The sequence below is a fragment of the Homo sapiens genome, chromosome 7 (genome assembly GCF_000001405.40).
Source record: "Homo sapiens chromosome 7, GRCh38.p14 Primary Assembly".
NCBI classification, from domain to species: Eukaryota; Metazoa; Chordata; class Mammalia; order Primates; family Hominidae; genus Homo; species Homo sapiens.
In genome coordinates, this window is record NC_000007.14 from 146229945 (window position 1) to 146254580 (window position 24636).

Sequence of the window (24636 nt, forward strand, 5' to 3'; positions counted from 1 at the left end):
CAAAAAGTGTCTCTGATAGTCAACACAAATATATAAACAAGCATTGAGTAAACGGCAAGAAGGATAAAAGGCATTTTTCCAAATGAAGACTTCCATTGAAAAGAAGAAATTCAATGAACCTTCCTTAAAACATATGAAACATTCTATTGAATTTTGATCTAATAAAAAATTGTATTAAATTTGCTGTATTAGAACTGTTACACACTTGAGATCAAAAAAGAAAACAAAAAATGCCCTAACTATAGGTAGGGACATTGTAGGACTAATGGAAGTGAGTATATAAGTCCACTTGGCACCAGAGATTTTTTTCTAATGTGGAAGTGTCAAAAGAATTCTGCTCCACTTCAAAGCAGTGCCTGGCAGGAACAGGAAAGCATAAATGTCACTGAACAAACTTAGAGACAAGCACTTCCTTCACTGAAGAGAAACCTGATATCTTTCTAGAAATTCTAGTATGCTGATACAAAATGCTAGACACTATCTAATTTCATTCCTCCATATTAATCAGCACCTTAATGTATGTTGCAGTTTATAGACAGTAAATATACTTTAATATTTTCTTTCTTTGCATGGGTAAAGAATAAAGAATGCAAGTCAATAGAAAAGAAAAATTTTAAAATAATTGTAGTAATTGGCTATAACTGGTGAGTATAGCTTGGCTTTGGAGTGATGTAGCCCTATCTTTGAATGCTGGCTCCACTATTTGTTATCTATAGAAATAGACAGGTCATAGAAAGCATTTCCCATCTGGCAATGTACTTGTGAAGATTAATTAAAAGTTAATCTATTGGCCGGGCACGGTGGCTCATGCCTGTAATCCCAACACTTTGGGAGGCCGAGGCAGGTGGACCGCTTGAGTCAGGAGTTTGAGACCAGCCTGGCCAGCATGGTGAAACCCTGTCTCTACTAACAATACAAAAAATAGCCAACCATGGTGGCAGGTGCCTGTAATCCCAGCTATTTGGGAGGCTGAGGCATGAGAATTGCTTGAACTCAGGAGGCAGAGGTTGCAGTGAGCTGAGATCGTGCCACTGCACTCCAACCTGGGCAACAGAGCGAGACTTTGTCTCAAAATAAATAAATAAATAAATAAATAAAAAGTTAATATATTTAATATAGCTTGAAGAACCTAGAATAATACCTGGAACCTTATAAGCATTCATTAATTGGCAGCTAGTGAGTCCTTTAAGCTCTATGATTGCAGGAAATATACATTCACTAGGATTACCTCAAGTAATGGGGAAATGTTTTTGGAAAATAGATATGGATCAAGTAAGTTAGGAGTTCTGACCCTGCAACATGGAAATAGGGCACACCCAGGTCCCAGTTCAGAAACAAGGTAAAGCTATAGTGGTACTCTTGGCCACATCTCCTTAGTAAGACGCAGGAGTGAACCTGTTTTCCTTCAGTATTGTGACTAGCTCTACTCTACTTCTGCATCAATCAGTCCTGTTCGCAGCAACTAGTCACCTCCTCCTTTGTTTAATGTTCATCATCTTTAAACATCGACCTGCTTATAGTATCCACTTACTCCCATGTCTGCTGACTTATAGAAAAGCAAGGTACAGGTATGTGAATGTAGAATGAGCATAAAATATAATTAAATTAAAGCGTAATCAGCAGAAACTCTGTGCTTTTGCATAGTAATCCTACCAGTGAATGATTCTTTCTTTGTATCCTATTTTGACCCATCAAGACAAATTTTATTGGTCTAATTAATAACTAAGATCCCTTCTGAGCAAAGCTCTTCTGTGAGACTACATACAGACCAGTCTATAATTGCTCTGATGAAGTGCATCCGGGAATAGGGTGAGGATTGGTTTCTCGTGGCACCTATCGCAGCCATTTATCCTGGAAGAATTCCCTGGAAAGGAACTGCACATGTGGCACACACTTTTAGACTTAGCATTTCTATACTTCTCTTGTCCATTTGTGCAGAAAGGTGGAGAGATAATTCAGAAAGAGAGCTAGTTTAAAGCTAGAATAAACCATGCAAACACATTTTTTTTCTAATTTTTGCAAATTTTCTCCAATATCCTGAAGGTTAAACAGAGGTTATTCTGTTCTGTTTTCTATACCCATGCTAAGGTTCAAGAAACTATAAAAGAGGCTGGCTGACTATCTCTCAAAAGGCTTCCTAGGAGAGGTTTTCCATGGCCCTGGGTCTGGACTTCACCTAGAAGGATTTAAATCTGAGTTGATTAACAAGATGATATCCTTCATGGAAAAACTCACAGGGGCAAAGCTCAAAATAAGCTTGTTATGTATATAAAAAAGACAATTTATCAATTTAGAAAAGATGCCCTGAATGCCTGTATGTGTATGTGTGTTTGTGTAATTTTATATATTAAATAATATATAATTTTAATTGACAGATAAATTGCATGTATTTATCAGCCTATATTTTTCATGACATAGTTTTTCCTCTGGAAAAGGTAAGTAGAAATCTAAATTAAAAGCTGTATATTGCTCAATGAATTTGAAATTGAGAAATGTGTGTAGTTCAAATATTTTGTCTAGCTACCTATAGGGATATGCTTGGCCTAAAAAAATCTTTGAGCCAGAGATTCTCCTCATTTGGAGTGAGACTAGGTATCCTCCATATTAGCCTATAAGAATCTATTGTTTTTTTGGTTTCTGCTGTGGAACACTTCTCCTGTTGGGACATTCTGCATTATTTATATTAGTACATCAAATCAAGGTATAGACTTGTTTGAAAACTATTCTATCTCTCTAATAACCCTATACACTTATTCATTCATTCATTCAAAAACTTACTTACTCTGCACTTATTATGTGCCTGACACCTTAGGCACATAATAAGTGACAAAAACAATGTCAAAGACATTGACATTTGACGTTGACAAAAACAATGTCAAAGACATTGACATTTGACGTTGACAAAAACAATGTCAAAGACATTGGGGGATACAAGAGTGAATATGGAAAGCAATGTCTTTTTCTTACTTGGCCCTTAGGCTCCAGTTAAGGTAGAGAGACAAAAACCCATTTAATTATTCCATCTCTCACTCTATTGCATAATCTCAATCTATTGGAATGTAATCCGTTTAGGGATTATATGTTATAGAACATAATCTACATGTTAGAGTATACAATCCCAATTGATCCTGCAAACATTTCTAGAAAAAATCCTATCAAATGAGTAATAAAGTGTTCTAAGCACTAACTAGAAATGTATTCAGGTGAAAAAGAAAAATCCAAAAAAAAGTGTTTTTTTTTATTATGGTTTACTTGAGAATAGAACTTAAGATAGGAACATTTATCACAGATTTGACTCTTCCATAAAGGATTGATCAAAGAGCTTAATTCTCAGAAGGTAACTTAATTCACCTTGCGATGAGGTCAACATGACTATTTACCTCATAAGCAACTTGAATTTTCATAGTATAATTAGCCAGTGGTTTTTCAAGTCTAAAGAACAGCCTTTGCCATGCTAAAACATGATGAAGCAGTGACTCACTACAGAAGACAAGCCTTTTCAGAATATACTCTGTGACTCTTTTTTTTTTATTATTATACTTTAAGTTTTAGGGTACATGTGCACAATGTGCACGTTAGTTACATATGTATACATGTGCCATGCTAGTGTGCTGCACCCATTAACTCGTCATTTAGCATTAGGTATATCTCCTAAAGCTATCCCTCCCCCTTCCCCCCACACCACAACAGTCCCCAGAGTGTGATGTTCCCCTTCCTGTGTCCATGTGTTCTCATTGTTCAATTCCCACCTATGAGTGAGAATATGCGGTGTTTGGTTTTTTGTTCTTGCGATAGTTTACTGAGAATGATGATTTCCAATTTCATCCATGTCCCTACAAAGCACAGGAACTCATCATTTTTTATGGCTGCATAGTATTCCATGGTGTATATGTGCCACATTTTCTTCATCCAGTCTATCATTGTTGGACATTTGGGTTGGTTCCAAGTCTTTGCTATTGTGAATAGTGCTGCAATAAACATACGTGTGCATGTGTCTTTATAGCAGCATGATTTATAGTCCTTTGGGAATATACCCAGTAATGGGATGGCTGGGTCAAATGGTATTTCTAGTTCTAGATCCCTGAGGAATCGCCACACTGACTTCCACAAGGGTTGAACTAGTTTACAGTCCCACCAACAGTGTAAAAGTGTTCCTATTTCTCCACATCTTCTCCAGCACCTGTTGTTTCCTGACTTTTTAATGATTGCCATTCTAACTGGTGTGAGATGGTATCTCATTGTGGTTTTGATTTGCATTTCTCTGATGGCCAGTGATGGTGAGCATTTTCTCATGTGTTTTTTGGCTGCATAAATATCTTCTTTTGAGAAGTATCTGTTCATGTCCTTCGCCCACTTTTTGATGGGGTTGTTTTTTTCTTGTAAATTTGTTTGAGTTCATTGTATATTCTGGATATTAGCCCTTTGTCAGATGAGTAGGTTGCAAAAATTTTCTCCCATTGTGTAGGTTGCCTGTTCACTCTGATGGTAGTTTGTTTTGCTGTGCAGAAGCTTTTTAGTTTAATTAGATCCCATTTGTCAATTTTGGCTTTTGTTGCCATTGCTTTTGGTGTTTTAGACATGAAGTCCTTGCCCATGCCTGTGTCCTGAATGGTAATGCCTAGGTTTTCTTCTAGGGTTTTTATGGTTTTAGGTCTAACGTTTAAGTCTTTAATCCATCTTGAATTAATTTTTGTATAAGGTGTAAGGAAGGGATCCAGTTTCAGCTTTCTACATATGGCTAGCCAGTTTTCCCAGCACCATTTATTAAATAGGGAATCCTTTCCCCATTATCTTTGAACTGAAAATTCACATCTTAATTTGCACAGAGTATTCTGAAATATCAAATGTATACCTATATTGGAAACTTTACCAGGTAGCACTGCCACATTCAGTTTTTACATAAGAAACTGAGCATTTTAGCATATGAGTTGGGAAGTCAATTGTCCTGCTTGATTTCCTATTTGGCATGTCTGTGATAATATTGAAATTGCTTAATGATTTTATTTATTCCTTGGAGAGGTGGATCCGTACACAATAAGCATTTGCAAACACCTGGGACAAAGTATGGACCTCTGTCAGCATAGTCTGTTTATAGGCCTAGGAAAGTATGAACAGAGAGTTGAGAAGGAAGAGGCAAAGGCATGTTATTTTACTGAGACACAATGAAATGGCTGTACATAGAAAATACATCTTAAGATATCAGAGATAAAAGCTATAAAAGGGGCAGGAAGAACAAAATGTAAAAATTAGATAGTTTCACTTATTTTTCCTTTCTACATCCTTTTTTTTTTTTAATTGGGAATCTTAGATTGGTGGGTTTTGGGGGAGGGTGGAGTTCCTTTTCTGAGGTCCTTTATTTTCTGCTTGAGTGCCTGAAAATAGATGCAAGACAGAGAATGTCTCCACTGACTCTCACGGTGGCTGTTTATTCAGAGTGCAGCCTTCATTTGGCTCTCCTGGAAGCTGGCTGTGAGACAAGGAATCCAGGCCAAGTTCTTTATTTGGCAGGGAAGTGGAGATGTAGATAGAAAAGAAAAGGCAACTAATAACACATTATCAAGTCAGTTACCAGTACAGGTAGCTGTAGCTTAATCCCACTGGGAAACTGAGAACCCTTAGAAAAGTTTGCCATCAGCATCATCTTCTCTGGGGCATAAGGGATCTGGGGTTCTTATACCCCTTTTCCCCAAGTGGTCATGATCTCTCTTGTACTTCCAGCCTGTGGTGTTTTCAGGTGCACAGGCCGTGGCTGCGTGAGAAAACTCTCAGCCCGTTGGAAGTCAGGAGTGCACCACAGTGAAAAGGGCTATGGGGGCAGAGATGGATAGAGCATGACAGTTCTGCTGTAAGTGGCCCAAGTTGAAGGGAGCTGTTCTCCCGTCTGCCTTTTTGCCTTCTTATAAAAACCAAATTAGCAAAGACATTGATACATAGACTTGTCTTATAACCAATTATGGACTTATATTAATTACCCATCAATATTCTCTGATCCATAGTACATATGGAAATGTGTGTGTGTGTGTGTGTGTGTGTGTGCGCGCGTATTTGTAAAATGCCATTATCCCTGGTATTCTATATTAGCCTAAGCTTAAAATTCAGTCCTTGTACTGTTACTTTTTACTGTACATCTGTGACAAAATTAATACTGCCATATGATGGGTGCCTAACACCACCCACTGCTTTTAAATTATATTCTCATTTTTTGTTATTCAATGATGGTTCAACTATTTCACCAAGAATTAAATAGAAGTAAGAGTCAAAATGACCAGGATATTTTCTCTAATACCGCTGTGTACTATTAAAAAAATAATTAAGATTTCTTTATTCATATCAATTATGAGTTGATGCACTGAATGATGTAATATTTATTCATGTTAACAGTGGAAAATGTGAGTGGGAACAGCTTTCATATGGAATGCTTTTCTTGTACTTTAGAAGTAAATAAATAATTAAATAAATAAGAGTTCTAATTTATGGGAAAATTGTCTTATATGAGTTGATTTTCTAAGCCTTTGTTTTACCAGCCTGAAAGAGGAATGCTACACAGTCATATTTTAATGGCTTTGTTTATTCTTTTAGAAAAAGTATCAACATGACATCATCTGAGGCTAGGTTGTGCTGCATACTAATAAAAACCTGAGAAATGTATGTTTGACTTCTGATGTAAAGGTTTTCTTTTTAATATAGACTTAATAACAATTTCATACTTAACCGATGAGAGCAGCAAATTAATCAAACAAATCGAACATTTTCTTCTCCAGGGAACTGGGGAAGCTTCTGATCCCTTGATATGATTATATCTATATATCAAATTCCATACTAATGACCCCCAAGAGAGATGGCTTTATCAATAAGATTGTAAGTTATTAATTAATTAATTAGTCTCCTGGAAATTCTACTGTGTGATTTTCTGTTTTTACCTCACAGGAGGGAGTTCTGAGTTACCTTGCTTCTTCAGAGGGTTAGATTTTTCATGTTTCAGGGTTGAACAATGAGGTGTAGGCAAGAGCTCAAGATAGCATTTGAGGGGCTTCGTTTCTGTATTTTAGACTATTAAGCTAACTTCTATAAAGGGAAAGTACTAACGTTGATATTTAGAGAAAAACACGGGGGGAGCTAAAACAAGACAGAGAAAGACAATTTGATGCCCTTAGGATGGGGTGATGACAACAGGTTTGTTCCAACATAGCAGCCATCCACATAGCTGTACCAGAAGCAGGACCTTGGCAGGGAAGTTCTGTGGCCTTGTGTGACTTTAACCCTGGGAACCCGGCAAAGATTTCTGTAGGCAGAGTTGATACAAAAGGGAATGTTCTCAAAGTAGCCACCACTTTAAATGAATAAATAGCACCTCAGTAGAAGACCACTGGCCAGTGTTCTGTCCAAATTCACACATGGAGGCAAAGGTAGCCATACAAAGTGATGAATACTGAGTTTCTTGCTAATTTCATTGAATGGGTAGCTTGAAACAATTACTTTGATTTAGAAAAAATAATGAGATCTGACATACTTTGCATTGCGTCTTCAGTTTTTCTGATCAATCCGTAAGTTACATGATCTTCACATACAAACTAAGACCATTCACATAAAAGAGAGAAAAGGAGTAATTATTTTTGCTTTCTTAGCAAGTGCCTAGAATAGCATTTTCCGGTGCATGCACTGGGGACAATCAGGGCCATAAATTTCTGATATGAAATACATTTAAGAAATACCAATATGAGGGCAATGGAAATTTCCGGTGCAAGCACTGGGGACAATCAGGGCCATAAATTTCTGATATGAAATACATTTAAGAAATACCAATATGAGGGCAATGGAAATTTCTTTGGTAATTTGCAAAACATATTAACATATTAAAGGTTCTGAAGTAACCCTTGTTACTAGTTTAACTTTCTTTAACCCAGAATTGCCCAAACTTACTTGAGCATAAAAGTGTTTTAACACTTCTGAGAAATATCCTTTCAGATACCAGATGGCTAGATAAAAATAAATAGTTGTTCTACATTGTAATAGCATCTATTACAGTTTCAAATCTAAATATCTGTCTTTGTTCCAAAAGCAAGCTTATGTATATGATTGTTTTTATTTTCTATGTAGACTCACAAAAGGAGAGACATAGAAAATTTAACTCTACACTATCATTCCCCCAGATTCAACTCTGGCATGATAAAGATCCTAGAGTGTATTACAAAGAGGTCACCCTTATAATATGGTAAATGCATATCTTCTGCTATAAATATTTTCATAAAGCTCTTCTCTTAGTCAAGGATTGAGAGTACAACTGGCCGTCTTTAGGAAATAGGAATCAGGAACGAATGGTTGTTGCTCAAAAGCATAACATTTAAGTGGGTTAACAGAGCACTTATATGAATGAGCAAGAAGATAATTGTGCTATTACACACAGTTTTACGACCATTAAAATACCTGTTCTAATTTGGCATCAGATACGTGAGCACAATGTGAAGAGCCTGAGGTTGGAATGAGAGCAGGAAAAATGTCCGAAGTTTGGACAGGGAGCAAAGAAATTGAGAAAATTATAGAATTGAAGAGAAAACCATGGTGAGGCACAAAAAAGCTGTATAATTATATGAATGATATTAGGTGGTTGGCAATAAGCAATTATTAATATTTTCTTTTATGAGTGAGGAAAAAAAAAGTATGGTCATAACAGAGGGAATGCAATTCGAGCATAAGAAGAAACACGAGAGTATTATGCTGTAGTAGTCCAGTCTCACTCTGCTATGAAGAAATACCTATGACTGGGTAATTCATACAGGAAAGAGGCAAAACTGACTCACAGTTGAGCATGGCTGGGGAGGCCTCAGGAAACTTGCAATCATGGCGGAAGGCAAAGGGGAGGCAAGGCACCTTCTTCACAAGGCGGCAGGAAGAAGTGAATGCAGGAGGAACTACCAAACACAAAACCATCAGATCTTGTGAGAACTCACTCACTATCACAAGAACAGCATGGGGGAAACCACGCCCATGATTCAATTACCTCCACCTGGTCTCTCCCTTGACAGGTGAGGATTGTGGGGATTACAATTCAAGATGAGATTTTGGGTGGGGACACAGCCAAACTATATCACATGCTAAAGCAGCCAATAATATCTCTAGGAAAATGTTGTAGTTTAGGGTAGATATGTGTTTGGAACAATTTAGATTCAAAACTCACAGAATTGTGAGTAGCAACAATGATTACTCTTAAATTAGTAATGCTGGAATATAGGTAATTTTAATTGTGTGTTCTATTCTGTGGTGCCAGTGGCATTTTCCCCCCTGATGTTATTTTTCTGCAGCTCCGGCTTTGTACATAAATGGATAATAGTGCTCCTTGGTGATCTATTTTCAAGTCAAAATTCTTTCTTATTTTCTGCTGAGGTTTAGCATTCCGTGGATAAAAAGCAAAGTTTTTCATTCCACAGCAAAATATAATGGTTAAAATACCAACAGCTTTACAGGAAAGAGGACCAGCCTAATAACCCTGAAATAGTCGCAGTTAGTGAACCCTTAGGCACAGTTTTCTCAGTAAAAAAATAATGTGATAGTTGATAGGATAACCTGGAGAATCCCACTAAGTGCTGATGTATAGACACTGTTTCAATCTTCTCACATTCATCTGACTTCCCTCCAGCCTACCTCAGTGCTGTGTTATCCTGTGTATGGACAGATTGCATGTCAGATTCCTAATTTTCAAATCAATTTTCAAATTAATAATTTAATAATAATGTCTTATACTTATGTATATTTCAAATCAACCCTGGTAAATCTGATACTTGTGTTTTATAGTCAAAGTTGAGCATTTTATGAATGCACCTTGTAAATATCACATATCAGGCAAGCACTAGAAAACCAAATCACAAACTGAACCAGGTTATCTTCCAACATTTGCCAAAATGAGATGCAACACATCTGAGGGAAATATGTATTAATCTTTCTTGTAAGTTATCTGAATTGGTTTAATGGAAATAAAATTTTAAAAACTAAAATATATTATAAATTCTCATGGATCTGTCTACATTGGTTTATAATTTATTTTTTCATTAGATTTATAAAGGGGCAATGTAAAAATTAACATCAGAATATCTTATATAACCCATTTTATCCATTGTAATAAAGTTTATTGAACACCTGCTATGTATAACTTTTGTTTTATTTCCTTTTAAATAATAGAAACTGTATTAACTATTGGGTTTCACATTTTCCTTTGGCTTCCATGAAGCTCCTGCCTAAATTTTTTGCTCAGGCACAGAAATGAATTTATCTAGGTTAACTGGATAACAGTGCATCGACCTCTATTTTACTTATAGTAGAATTTTATCTACATATTATTTCCTGTTCTGTTTTATATACCTTTAGCAGTGTAAGCTACCTTAAGCCTTTGCAGAAATCAAATGAACTATAAGTCATATATGAATAAATAAATGCTAGGTCTAATATAGAAAAATTAATACCTTGAAATAAAGGTTTATTGAGTCTTTTTTCAGAGAAGAAGCATTCCTCTAATGAAAAATATTAATCAGAACCATATTTGCTAATTAATAATTTAATGATAATGTCTTATGCTTATGTACATTAAATATATTTATATATAAATGATAATAATAATGCCTCACACTTATGTACATTAAATGCATATAATATATAATTATATATCTATATTATCACTTCTCACAGTGACCTTAGGAGGTAGACATTTTTTCTCAAATTAAGTGTGAAAAATTAGAATTCACAAATTCCAGGATTTGAACTAAAGACAACTAATTCTACATAAAGTGGTTCATCTGTAAAATTTAGTGTTTAGAACTAATGTTTGCTATTTGCATAGGGCTGCAGTATGAAAGAGTGTTGGGAAATGTCATTAGCCCGTTCTTGCTTTGCTATAAATATCTGAGACTGTGTAATTTATAAAGAAAATAGGTTTAATTGGCTCATGGCTCTGCACGCTGTACAAGTACGGTGCTGGCATCTGCTCAGCTTCTGGGGAGGCCTCAGGGAGCTTTTACTCATGGCAGAAGGCAAAGCAGGAGCTTGAACATCACATGGAAAGAGTAAGAGTAAGGGAGAATGTGGTGGGGGAGTGCCACACTTTTAAACAACCAGATCTCATGAGAGTTCACTCAGTATTGCCAAGATAGCACCAAGCGGGTAATGCTAAACATTCATGAGAAAACTACCCACATGATCCACTCAGCTCCCATCAGGCCCCACCTCCAATACTGGGGATGACAATTCAACATGAGATTTAGGCAGTGACACATATCCAAACTACATCAGGAGGTAAGGCATTTAGATATATGTGTAGACTTCAAACCTCCTTGCTGTCTCTTCAGTCCTCTAAAATGAGGTGTGTCTAAAGAAACAAAAGCTTTCATACAGACCTGTACCCTAGTGGAGATACTGAGTCATGTTGACAAGGATTAAACTAGTCTATATAGGCCATCACATAAAAATAAGCTTTATTTAGCCAGACAACAGTAACCATTGTGTTCACAAGAACACATACATACAAGCATGGCTGTTTGCTCATAGTAAAATTTTCTTTCCTCTAGCCATCAAATTATCTTGAAAATTTGCTGAACTCTTCACTGTACTAACTTAAAAAGACCATGCAAGACTTATAATAACTCATTGCATGAAGATGCCTAAGTCATTAATGTGACATTTTTTTTAGAAAGACAGCCTTCCACAAATCTATTTCTAAATATTAGAGGAAATTGTGAAATATGGTTCAGATATGATAGAGAATCATAGCCCATAGTTTTTTCCTGGTGTAATAAGACTTGTAACATTTTCAAGAAATCAAGTTTAAAGTCAATCCATAACTCTAAGAAGAATCCTACAGCCTCCCTAAAATTTGAAATTATATATATACCTATACACACACACACACAAACACACACGCACACACACAAACATATATATATGAAAAGACTCTATTAAGATAAAAATACTACCTAGAAGCCTAATGGGGAAAATATGGTTAAGTTTGCTCACACTGAATTGGAACAAAATAGGATTGAAATTTTATTCCACCATTTAAAAAGCATATGACTTGGGAAAATTACATAACTTCTTCACATGTCAATTTCTTGAGCTATAAAAAGAGTTCAATAATATAATTTATCTCATGAGGTTGTTGTGAGGATTAATTGTGATAAGGCATGTGAAATGTTTCACTCATTGTTTTTGTAAGTATTGAGTAAAATCACTGAACTGGTGATAAAATACCAGGTATAAAACTGACAATCTATCCAAATTGATTTTTGTCTTAACACATTCAGGGCAGAAGAAAATGAGAAAAAATAAAACAGGCCGGGCGCCGTGGCTCACACCTGTAATCCCAGCACTTTGGGAGGCTGAGGCGGGCTGATCAAGAGGTCAGGAGTTCTAGACCAGCCTGGCCAACATGGTGAAACCCCGTCTCTACTAAAATACAAAAATATTAGCCAGACGTGGTGGCTTGTGCCTGTAGTCCCAGCTACTCGGGAGGCTAAGGCAGGGGAATCGCTTGAACCCAGGAGGCAGAGGTTGCAGTGAGCCGAGATTGTGCCACTGCACTCCAGCCTGGCAACAGAGTGAGACTCTGTCTCAAAAAAAAAAAAGGAGAGAAAAAGAAAAAACAAAACCAAACCCTAAAAACATGGATACCCAAATAGAGTAAATTAAGAATCTAGAGACATTAGTTATCTGAAAACTATTCAGAAACTCTGCACAAACTTTTGATATTGGATTGATTAACTTTGATAATGACCTTATTTTTGGAGTAAAGTGAACACAAATATCAGTGTATTAGCCCATCCTAAAATATTATTTCATAAAAAATTAATTCATCATAAAATAACACTACATATCACCCTGCTTTCATTTTCTTAACTACATTATAGAATGATAGCACATTTAGAAGATGATGTCATCTTTCAATTAATAAAGATAGTTGTGCCTCTTAGAGAAAGGTAATAATTTCAAGAAGCTGGATGAGCTGCAAATCTACACAAATATTTTTAAGAACATATATCTATTTAACAATTTTGTGCTCTCTCAATTTTATTTTTGCTGTTTTTAGACATATGGATGTTTCTATTTTTGAAATTCTTTCTTGTTTTTGTTTGTGATTTCTGTTTTTTAGTCTTCCTCCACCAAAGCTGTTTAGTAATCTAGTTTTTTTCCATTTCATTATTTGATTAGTTATATTTGATTATTAATCTATCAAAAATTACTTCTTCAGTTGTGCAACGTGGCGATCAAAATTGATTCTCAAGTAAATACCTCAGGTTCCTAGTACCAATTATTGTCTCATCTTAATATTTATTCCTTAGTTTATTATTTCTCCTTTATTTATATTAATTATTTATGTATTGTACAATATAACTCCTACATATATAACAGGTTATATTTTTGCATTGCCATTTCTGGTTGATTGGTCTGTCTATTCGTAGGTTAATACCAGACCATTTTATTGATTTTATTCTTACATTTCCAGATCTTCTCTTTTGGGCAATACTTTCTGATTTGAAAGGAAGTAGTGAAAAAGTTTTACAAAACAGAGAGGAGGAACATGTGTTGATCAGTCACATGGTTTGTAAAGCAAAATATTGGGGTTTGTTGTATAGTGTTTACTTATTTTAAATATTAATTTTTTCTATTCAAAGAAAATATTTAATGGTGAAAATCATGAATTTTGGATATAGATGTGGGTTCGAATTTGAACTTTGTAACTTAATGGTTTTTTAATCTCTGGTAAAATCCATTAAATTCTTTCAAGCTCCTTCCTCTCTGAATGGGATTATTAATATGAATCTCATCAGTTTAGAATGAGTCCTAAGTGAGATTACAGAGGAATAAATAAAGCACAGCTTACTTGTGATTGTAAGTTCCTGTCTTCTTATATTAATAAGAAAAATAAAACGAAATAGTGCTAAAGTGTTGGGACAGCGAAAATTTTTGGAGATGGTATGGAGAGATAATGGGCGATGTTTCTCAGGGCTGCTTCGAGCGGGATTAGGGGCGGTGTGGGAACCTAGAGTGGGAGAGATTAAGCTGAAGGAAGATTTTGTGGTAAGGGGTGATATTGTGGGGTTGTTAGAAGGAACATTTGTAATTTAGAATTATTGGTGATGGCCTGGATACGGTTTTGTATGAATTGAAAAACTAAATGGAATAAGAGAAGGAGAAAAACAGGTATAAAAGGTCTAAGAATTGGGACGACTCAGGACATCTGATTAGAGAGTGCCTAAGGAGGTTCAGCATAGTCCTGCCAGCAAAGATTATTTATTTACTTCAAGAGTTAAGAGTGGCAGTTTGGGGATAGCACCAGGAGGTATCAGCTTTGATGACTTGGAGAAACAGTGTAAACCGGCAGTGTAAACAAGAGCAGGGCATGCATGAGTAGTTGAGAACGGTGAATAGGAGTATGACTAGACACAAGATAGTAGGAATGACAAGTTTTTTGGGGGCACAGTCTAAGTTGATCTGGTGTCTGGAATGAGACTGGGGCCTAATAAAAAGGAGCGTCTATACAGGAGCTCAAATGGCCTGTACCTTGTAGCATTCTGAGGACAGGTCTGACTTCTGAGAAGGGTAAGTGGTAAAAGTATTGTCCAGTCCTTTTTAAGTTGGTGGCTGAGCTTGGTGAGGTGTGTTTTTAAAAGACCTTTAGTCCATTCTACTTTTCCTGAAGACGGAGGACCATAAAGGATATAAAGGTTTCACTGAATACTAAGAGCCTGAAAAACTGCTTGGCTGATTTGACTAATAAAGGCTGGTCTGTTATCAGACTGTATAGAGGTGGGAAGGCTAAACTGAGGAGTTATGTCTGACAGAAGGGAAGAAATGACTGCGGTGGCCTTCTCAGACCCTGTAGGAAAGGACTCTACCTATCCAGTGAAAGTGTCTACCTAGGCTAAGAGGTATTTTAGTTATCTGACTCGGGGCATGTTGAGTAAAGCTAATTTGCCAGTCCTGGGTGGGGGCAAATCCTCGAGCTTGATGTGTAGGGAAGGGAGGGGGCCTGAATAATCCCTGAGGAGTAGTAGAATAGCAGATGGAACACTGAGAAGTTATTTCCTTGAGGATAGATTTCCATGATGGAAAGGAAATGAGAGCTTCTAAGAGGCGGGCTAGTGGCTTGTACTATAGCATAGCCTGCCTTTGCTTGTGTGTGGCGATTAGGCCTGGTGGAACTGCCATCAATAAATCAAGCGTGATCAGGGTGAGGAACAGGAAAGAAGGAAATATGGGGAAATGGGGTGAATGTCAGGTGGATCAGAGAGATACAGTCATGGGGGTCAGGTGTGGTATCAGGAATAATGTGGGAGGCCAGATTGAAGTCCGGGCCAGGAACAATGGTAATTGTGGGACTTAACAAAGAGTGAGTACAGCTGAAGGAGCCAGGGAGCAGAAAGTATATGCGTCAGCTATGAGGAAGAAAATAGATTTTGGAAGTTATGAGAAATGTAGAGAGTAAGTTGAGCATAGTTTGTGATTTTGAGGGCCTCTAAAAGTATTAGGGCGGCAGCAGCCGCTGCACGCAGACATGACGGCTAGGCTAAAACAGTAAGATCCAGTTGTTTGCGCAGAAAGGCTACAGGGTGCAGTCCTGGCTCTTGTGTAAGAATTCTGACCACACTAACCATGCCTAGGAAGGAAAGGAGTTGTTGTTTTGTAAGGGATTGAGGTTTGGGAGATTAATCGGATACGATCAGCAAGGAAAGCACGTGTGTTTTTATGAGAATTATGCCGAGATAGGTAACAGATGAGGATGAAGTTTGGGCTTGACTGAAGTAATGGGGGCTGTCTGTGAAGCCTTGCGGCAGTACAGCCCAGGTAATTTGCTGAGCCTAATGGGTATCAGGGTCAGTCCAAGTGAAAGCGAAGAGAGGCTGGGATGACGGGTGCAAAGGAATAGTAAAGAAAGCATGTTTGAGATCCAGAACAGAATAATGGATTGTGGAGGGAGGTATTGAGGATAGGAGAGAGGATAGGGTTTGGCACCATGAGGTGGATAGGCAAAACAATTTGGTTGATAAGGCATAGATCCTGAACTAACTTGTAAGGCTTGTCTGGTTTTAGGACAGGTAAAATGGGGGAATTGTAAGGAGAGTTTATAGGCTTTAAAAGGCCATGCTGTAGCAGGCAAGTGATAGCAGGCTTTAATCCTTTCAAAGCATGCTATGGGATGTGATATTGGCATTGAGTGGGGTAAGGGTGATTAGGTTTTAATGAGATGGTAAGGGGTGCATGATCGGTCGCCAAGGAGGGAGTAGAAGTATCTTATACTTGTGGGTTAAGGTGGGGTAATACAAGAGGAGGACGCAAAGGAGGCTTTGGATTGGGAAGAAGGGCAGCAATGAGATGTAGCTGTAATCCAGGAATAGTCAGGGAAGCAGACAATTTAGTTAAAGTGTCTCGGCCTAATAAGGGAACTGGGCAGGTGGGGATAACTAAAAGGAGTGCTTAAAAGAGTATTGTCTAAGTTGGCATGAGAGTGGGGGTTTTAAGAGGTTTAGAAGCCTGGCCGTCAATACCCACAACAGTTATGGAGGCAAGGGAAACAGGCCCTTGAAAAGAAGGTAATGTGGAGTGGGTAGCCTCAGTATTGATTAAGAAGGGGACAGACTTACCCTCCACTGTGAGAGTTACCCGAAGCTCGGCGTCCCTGATGGTCTAGGGGGCTTCCGAGGCGATCCGACAGCATCAGTCTTCAGCCGCTAAGCCAAGAAGATCTGGGAAGGAGTCAGAGAGCCTTCGGCCAGAGTTCCAGGGGCTCTGGGAGTGGCTGCCAGGTGAGTTGGACAGTCCGATTTCTAGTGGTGTCCTGCACAGATGGGACTCGGCTTAGGAGGAATCCTGGGCTGCAGGCATTCCTTGGCCTGGTGGCCAGATTTCTGGCACTTGTAGCAAGCTCCTGGGGGAGGAGGTTCTGGAGGAACGCCTGGTCGCTGCGTTTCAGATGTTTGGAAGTTCTTGTGTGCTGGAGATGTGGCTGGGGTTTGTCTCACAGTGGAGGCAAGGAATTGCAACTTTTTTCTATTATTGTACACGTTGAAGGCGAGGTTAATTAAATCCTGTTGTGGGGTTTGAGGGCCAGAATTTAATTTTTGGAGTTGTATTTAATGTCGGGAGCAGACTGGGTAATAAAATGTATTTTGAGAATAAGACGGCCTTTTGACCTTTCAGGGTCTAGGGCTGTAAAGTGTCTCAGGGTTGCTGCCAAACGAGCCATGAACTGGGCTGGATTTTTCATATTTGATGAAAGAGCCTAAACGCACACTGATTTGGGAGAGGTCTGATAAGGAAAAAGGAGCATTAACCTTGACTATGCCTTTAGCTTCAGCCACCTTTTTAAGAGTAAATTGCTGAGCAGGTGCCGGAGGGCTAGAGGTGGAACGAAACTGTAAGCCGGACCGGGTGTGAGGAGGGGAGGTGATAAAAGGATTATAGGGTGGAGGAGTGGAGGCTGAGGAAGAATTGGGACCTAGCTCAGCCTGGCCAGGAGGGGAGAGGTAGAAAAGGAAGATTAGAAAGACTCAGCGAAGCTTGGGGTTGGGACTGAGGGGACAGGTGGGAGGGAAAGAAGGAAGATTTGGGATGAGTTACATTGGGAACAGAGACTAGAGATGCACTGACATGTAAAAGAGTGCCTGGACATCAGGCACCTCAGACCATTTGCCCATTTTACGACAATAATTATTTAGATCTTGCAGGATGGAAAAATTGAAAGTGCCATTTTCTGGCTATTTGGAACTACTGTCGAGTTTGTATTGGGGTCAAGTGGCATTGCAGAAGAAAATAAGACGCTTAGATTTTAGGTCAGGTGAGAGGTGAAGAGGTTTTAAGTTCTTAATAACACAGGCTAAAGGAGAAGAAGGAGGAATGGAGGGTGGATGGTTGCCCATAGTGAAGGAGGCTAGCCCAGAGAAAAGAGTAGAGACACGGAGAAGGGTTGGGGGTTCTTGCCCTCCAGAAAAGCAGAGAAGGGGTTGGGGCACAGAGATACGAGGTCAGGGCACGGAAATAAGGGATCGGGGTGCAGAGATATAAGAGGTTGGGGCACGGAAATAAGGGATCGGGGCACAGAGATATAAGAGGCTGGGGCACGGAAATAAGGGATCGGGGCACAGAGATATAAGAGGCTGGGGCATGGAAATAAGGGGTCGGGGCACAGAGATATAAGAGGCTGGGGCACGGAAATAAGGGATCAGGGCGCAGAGATATAAGAGGTCCGGGTGCGGAAATAAGGGATCGAGGCGCAGAGATATGAGGTTGGAGTATTTGCCCCTCCTCTAGAAAAGCAGGACTTGCCGCTCAGGGTGAAGGAGAAGGGGTTGGGGGTTTCTTGCCCCCCAGAAAGGCGGAGAAGACACGGAGAGAAGGGGTTGGGGTACTTGCCCTTTCCCCAGAAAAGTGGGACTTGCCGCTAAGGGTGAAGGACCAAGGCAGGCATCCCTGCGTGGTCTGACACCTCTGAAACCTGGGTGAATAATCAGGGACGCATCCCTGGAATGATTAAACACCAGGGGAAGGCTGCCTTCCCTAGTCCATGACCAGCGCCGGAGTTTTGGGTCCAGGGATAAAACGTGTCTCCTTTGTCTCTACCAGAAAATGAAAGGAATTGAAATTAAAAGAAGGGAGAGATTGACGTGTGGCGCCAAGATTGAAAGGAGAAAGAGGTTGAGGGATGGTGAGGGAGGTTGGAGAAGAGAGTAAAAAGGGGCTGCTTACCGGATTTTAAATTGGTGAGATGTTTACTGGGCTGGTCGGTCTGAGGACCTGAGGTCGTACGTGGATCTTTCTCACGAGCAAAGAACAGGAGGACAGGGGATTGATCTCCCAAGGGAAGTCCCCTGATCCGAGTCACGGCACCAAATTTCATGCGCCTCCGTGTGAAGAGACCACCAAACAGGCTTTGTGTGAGCAATAAAAGCTTTTAATCACCTGGGTGCAGGCAGGCTGAGTCCGAAAAGAGAGTCAGTGAAGGGAGAAAGGGGTGGGGCCGTTTTACAGGATTTGGGTAGGTAAAGGAAAATTACAGTCAAAGGGAGGGTTGTTCCCTGGCGGTCAGAGTGGGGGTCACAAGGTACTCAGTGGGGGAGCTTTTGAGCCAGGATGAGCCAGGAGAAGGAATTTCACAAAACAATGTCATCAGTTAAGGCAGGAACAGGCCATTTTCACTTCTTTTGTGGTGGAATGTCATCAGTTAAGGCAGGAACCGGCCATCTGGATGTGTACGTGCAGGTCACAGGGGATATGATGGCTTAGCTTGGGCTCAGAGGCCTGACAGTAAGTGTTCAGTAAATGTAATTAGTATAATTATTAAAATATTCATGATTATTATTCCTTTAAAATATTCTAGAAATCTTCATGTTATCTAATCTGGAAAAGAATTTTTCTAGCTCCATTGCTAAAAAAATTCTTCAAATTCAAATTTATTTCTGTATCTCTTAATAGAAATGAGGAAACGTATTTCCTCTTCCTGTAATAGTAGTCTCAGAACACGTGACTGTCACTTGTGTGTCTCTGTGAGTGACTGTGTGGAAAGAACTTATCTGACTCACTCACTTCTCTGTGCCTTGGCTTTGGGTATATGGCTGCAAGTCTCTGCTAATTACTCCTATGCCACTTTCAGCACAAATATCACTTATTATGTGCTGCTTGAATATTATTTTCTTTATTTCTAAGTTTGGTCCATTCAGTCCTCTCATGGCATGAGTTGCTTTTCTTATTTCCACATAAGTATTTGAAAACTTGTCAGAATGCTATTTTCATTAGACACTTTTCATTATTACGCTGTCATCACTGAACAAGTTTATTTCAAAGCCTTTTGAGAAAAATGACAGAAAACATAGCATTTTATTTCCTTGGCCGTTCATTAGATTAGAAATGTCAAGAAAGACTTAGATTATACTTATTTTTATTAAAAGGAATGAGAGACTTTTCTTGAAAAAAAGAAAAAAAGAAATTTAAATTTTGAATGCTACGTCTTAGGGCTCTATGCAGTGAAACATTTTCTCTTCATTGTTTAGAAAGACTTACATTTTATTTTAAAATTCCTGCCCGTCTTTTTCTCTTGAAGAGATAAGATACTCTAATCATTCTAGAACACCAGCTATTAATCTGAAATTAAATCTATTACGTGCCAGAAACAAATTACCCCAAAGTTAACCTAAAATATCATCAGGGTAACACCTTCAGTTACAAATTATAGTAACATCTTAGATAATAAATTTCAGCAGCTATTAAAAGAGAGATGATAATAGTACCTTTGTCTGAGGCTTCTTATGATAATTGACTTTAAATATGTAGAGCATCTAATACTGCATGTGAGGCTGAATTCTATGAAATTACTAATACTGAAGCATTTTTGGCCTACAGAAGGAACGGTTTCATGTGGTTCAACCGAAGTGTTGCTCGTTAATTTTGAGTTTCCCATTCACCACTGCACTGACCTTTAGCCAGGACAGTACTTACTAATTATAATTTAAAGGTCGCATGGATAGAGAGCAAGGCAGACTTGTTACGACAAACCTGTGTCTTGTCTATCTTGGTATGGTGGTGCCTCAGTTAGCACAGGGCTTTCACTCTCTTACTATGGCCAGCTTCACAGTCTCTGTGACCCTTCAACCTGTCCCATGACTTCTGCTTACCCGTGGCCATGGTGTCTACTGATGGCATCACTATGCTCACTGCCTTCACCCATATGATTCTCATATGTGTAATTTACTAGCCAGTATCCAGCAAGGCCTGCTGTGTATGGGAGCTGGTGCCATAGAAAGTGTGGATGAGGTTATGTGTAGGTATCTCTGCTGGTGGTGGGTTGATGATAACCATATTTGACGCCCTTAAATTTCTAAAATTAGGAGTCATTGTATTCATTCTAGATTGAGGAGGATAGCATTTAAATGGGGCTTAAGTATGCCTTGTAAGTATGTAAAAAGATATAAAATTACCATGCATACTGTCTTTCAATAACATAACAAGACTGTAGTTTAGTGAGCTCAAGGTGACAAAATAGCCATTATTTTCTTACTGTGAGAGTCATTTTGTTTATTGTTTGCATGAGTGACAATTTTTCCAATGAAACTTTCTTGGTTAATAGACCCTTTCTTATACATAAATATGAAATAAGAGGGTGATAGAAATCAGATATTATATCTAGTTTTTATGACTAGCAGATTACACAGAATAAAAACATCACAATGACACAAAACATAATCTTACACATTAGACAAAGGCATACAACTTTAAAAAATATTGCAATCAAAAAGATGTAATTAAATTACCCTGATTCATTGAAACTTTAGCTTTTAAAAGGTTCATTTTTGTGGGTATAAATAAATTTTGTTATCTTAATTTTATACAAGTTACAATTATATTATTGTTAATGACAGATACCAAATTTAATAATGTCACCTTGTTTTATGTTTTATAAAATTTGCTTCATTTTTCCACCTAAGCAGATATGCTGTCAAAATGTGGTGTTACCTGAAATTTTAAAATGCATCTCTTTTCCTTGTGTAATTTTATAATAAAATAGTTAAGAATGAAGAATTATAAAAAAGTTAAGAATTTTATTTTGAAGACTGATATTCTAAGTTGCATATAGCAAAGAAGTTACGAACTTTTATAGTCAAGGACCTCATAACACATGATAGATGCTAATTTTAATTAAATTTATTATTTCAACTTTGAAAAATGGGGTAGGAGGAGAGTATGAATCAGAGGATGAAGTAACTCACAATTTAGGCTATAGGGGCCACATTTTTCTAACTTAATATTCCATGATTATTTCCAAAGGTTACTTAAATCCAATATATGACTCAGAGCTTCAGACTTAACGTCATACATTTTCACATAGGTTTTAATTTGTGGAGAAAGGACATATTCTGATATTATTATAGAAAAGCCATTGGATTCTATGGTGTGATAATAAGAGATTTCAGGTCTGGGTCTTCTTTATCAGTCAGCTTTTGTATTGCAATAACCTACAATCTCAATTCTCAAAGGCTTAGAGCAAGATCATTTGCTTTTTGTTCATCTGAGGACTGCCGGGTGAGTTTGGGTTGGCTGGGCTCAGTTTCACTGGGCTTTTGATTCCAGGAGCCCAGAGTGAAGCAGCAGCCACTATCCTGCAGTTTTCAACGCAGAGGACATACCAGGGGAGACAGAGGCTGAGCCAAATCAAATAATCACATTGAAACCTTTTGCTTAATCATACCAATGTCATGGCTGCTCATATTCATTAGCCAAAGCAGCCACATGACTTGGCAGAAGTTCATAGGGTTCTGATGCTTATTCCTCCCATAGAATGAACAGGAATTCTCATATAACTATAATTGACTATATCAAATCCCATTGCTGGAAGTGGGTGAATAGCTGGGAATAGTAATCCACTGTATTACATATGCCACCAAATGATTCAGCAACTTTCCAGTTTCCTACTGGACAGAGAGAGGCCTGTCTCTCTGGAAAGTCGCTCCTCCTTTATATGACCGCCCTGACAGACCTTGCACTTGCAACTTGACTCCCTGCTGAAAACCACTTCTACTCTGTTTTCGGAAATACCTGTAGTGTCAGTAGACAAAGTAGAACAAAATGAGAAAATAGAGAGAGGATGGGATCTGAAAACTAGTATAAGTCAGGGCAGGAAAAAAGGAAGAGTCTGAAAGCAAGCTTGGAGAGCTGACTCTTAGACCAGAATAGAAAACATTTTCTTCAAAATATTCGCCCCTTTTCAAATGCAGAATTAGGCCAGTTATGTTTTAGGATACCCATTGCCTTATATTCTTAAAAAGAAAAGAAAAAGAAGGAAAAGAAAGAGATAACACTTAATAGTCCATAACAAAGTGTCAACGGGATAGACACATGCTTATTCAAACCACAGATATGATCCAGTTAATTTCCTTCTTAAAATGTGCCCATAGTGTCTTATTGCCTCATCGTAATGATAATAATGAGAGCAACAATTATAATGGCAAAAGCAAGGACTCCTGCCATTTACTGTTTGTGTATTAAATGCTCCACTCTACACTAAAAGCTTTATGTACAGTCTTATTCCTCAAAATAAATATGAGAAAAACAACTTTACCAAACTCACATAGTTAATAAAAGTATTTTTATGAGCCACCACAATACTCAAAAATGGTGCAATACTGTGTTTTCATGAATTTCACCCAATCTAGCTTTCCTGACTCATCTCTTGCCTTCCCCTCTGTGATTGCTAAGTACAGACACACAGAAGTGCTGCCATTTCCTCACTATACTCTACTATTTCACGCCTCTGTGAGTCTGTATCCATGAATTTCTCCACTTGGAATGGCTTTTCTAGCCACACTACTCCTTTGCCAACCTAACAAATTCTGTTTCTCTTCTAATGACTCTTCTAGACGCAGTCCTCTGCCACCTGCTCTAGGAAGGTATGCCATAGGTAGATAAGTTGTCTCCTGCATTTGCTTGCAGTCTCCACACACTGCAGCGATCACATACACCTGCACATAAAATGTCTTTGCTATACATGCCCATTCCTGGGCCCACACAAGTCTTCCACCCTTCCTCAGGTGTGAATACCTTAAGGGTCTTCTTTATTCCTATTTTATTTTATATTCCAGTGTATGTTCTAACAAGTAATCAAGTGACTTGAATGGAAATCTCAATAGCCAAACTGAGTTGTTGCTGTACATTTTTAATATTTAACAGAGAGATGGATCTATTGGAGGCAGTCATCTGAGATGATCAGATATAATGGCCAATAGCAACTATGCTAATCATAAAATTTAAAATGTAAAAAATTGCTTCGTCAAACTGTTTTAAAAGATGTATCTAAAACATAGTAGGCTGAGCATGGTGACTCATGCCTTTAATCCTAGCACATTGGGAGGCCAAGGTAGCAGGATTGCTTGAACCTAGGAGTTTGAGATGAGCCTGAGAAACATAGTGCAACCCTGTCACTACAAAAAAAAAAAATTAAAAATTAGCTCCATGTGGTGGCATGCACCTGTAGTCCCAGCTATTTGGGAGGCTGACATGGGAGGATTTCTTGAGCCCAGGAAGTCGAGGCTGCAGTGAGCTGTGATCATGCCACTGAACTCCAGCCTGGGTGACAGAACAAGACACTGACTCATAACAAAACAGAACAAAACAAAAAGCAAAGTCAAGATTTGGATGTTCAGTGTATTCATTGCTACTTGCACACACACACACACACACACACACACACACACAAGCAAACACACACAATATAGTTTTATCAGAATACACATATTCTGATAGCAGAATTGAAAGCTTACATAACTGTGCAAGCTTTGGATTCTGCTATTCTCTGGTTTACTCATCCCCAGTTTTCCAATCCATCAATAAGGATAGCCTCAATTATCTAATAAGCATTTCATGTGTATTTCAATAAAATAATGCATTTTAATGAAAAATTCTTAGAATAGTTCTTGGCACATGCCATATTTAAATGTCGCCACTGCCTCATTCATACAGATCGTACCCAAGTAAAAGTGTATATATGGAGAATAAAAATGAAAACAGGAAGTAAGACAGTAAATGGAGGAAGTCATTTAGATTTGATAGCATGGTTTCCAAAGGCAGTGTCCTATTAGAAGTGTTCAGGTAAATAAAACGTTATTGGCAGAG

The 24636-nt window shown here is 38.3% G+C and overlaps 1 protein-coding gene across 2 annotated transcripts in view, besides 1 other annotated feature; it reads left to right on the forward strand.

Annotated features, from left to right (window-relative positions):
• The window catches only part of CNTNAP2 (contactin associated protein 2), a 2304198-nt gene that overhangs the window by 113144 nt on the left and 2166418 nt on the right, over positions 1-24636 (forward strand). The gene's annotated exons all lie outside the window — the stretch shown is intronic.
• Positions 18685-19456: an enhancer, noted in NCBI's record as "OCT4-NANOG-H3K27ac hESC enhancer chr7:145945721-145946492 (GRCh37/hg19 assembly coordinates)". NCBI's record gives its function as "activates a minimal SCP1, AML or CMV promoter by ChIP-STARR-seq in naive H9 embryonic stem cells {active_cell/tissue: H9 hESC(naive)}" and the evidence as "EXISTENCE:reporter gene assay evidence [ECO:0000049][PMID:30033119]".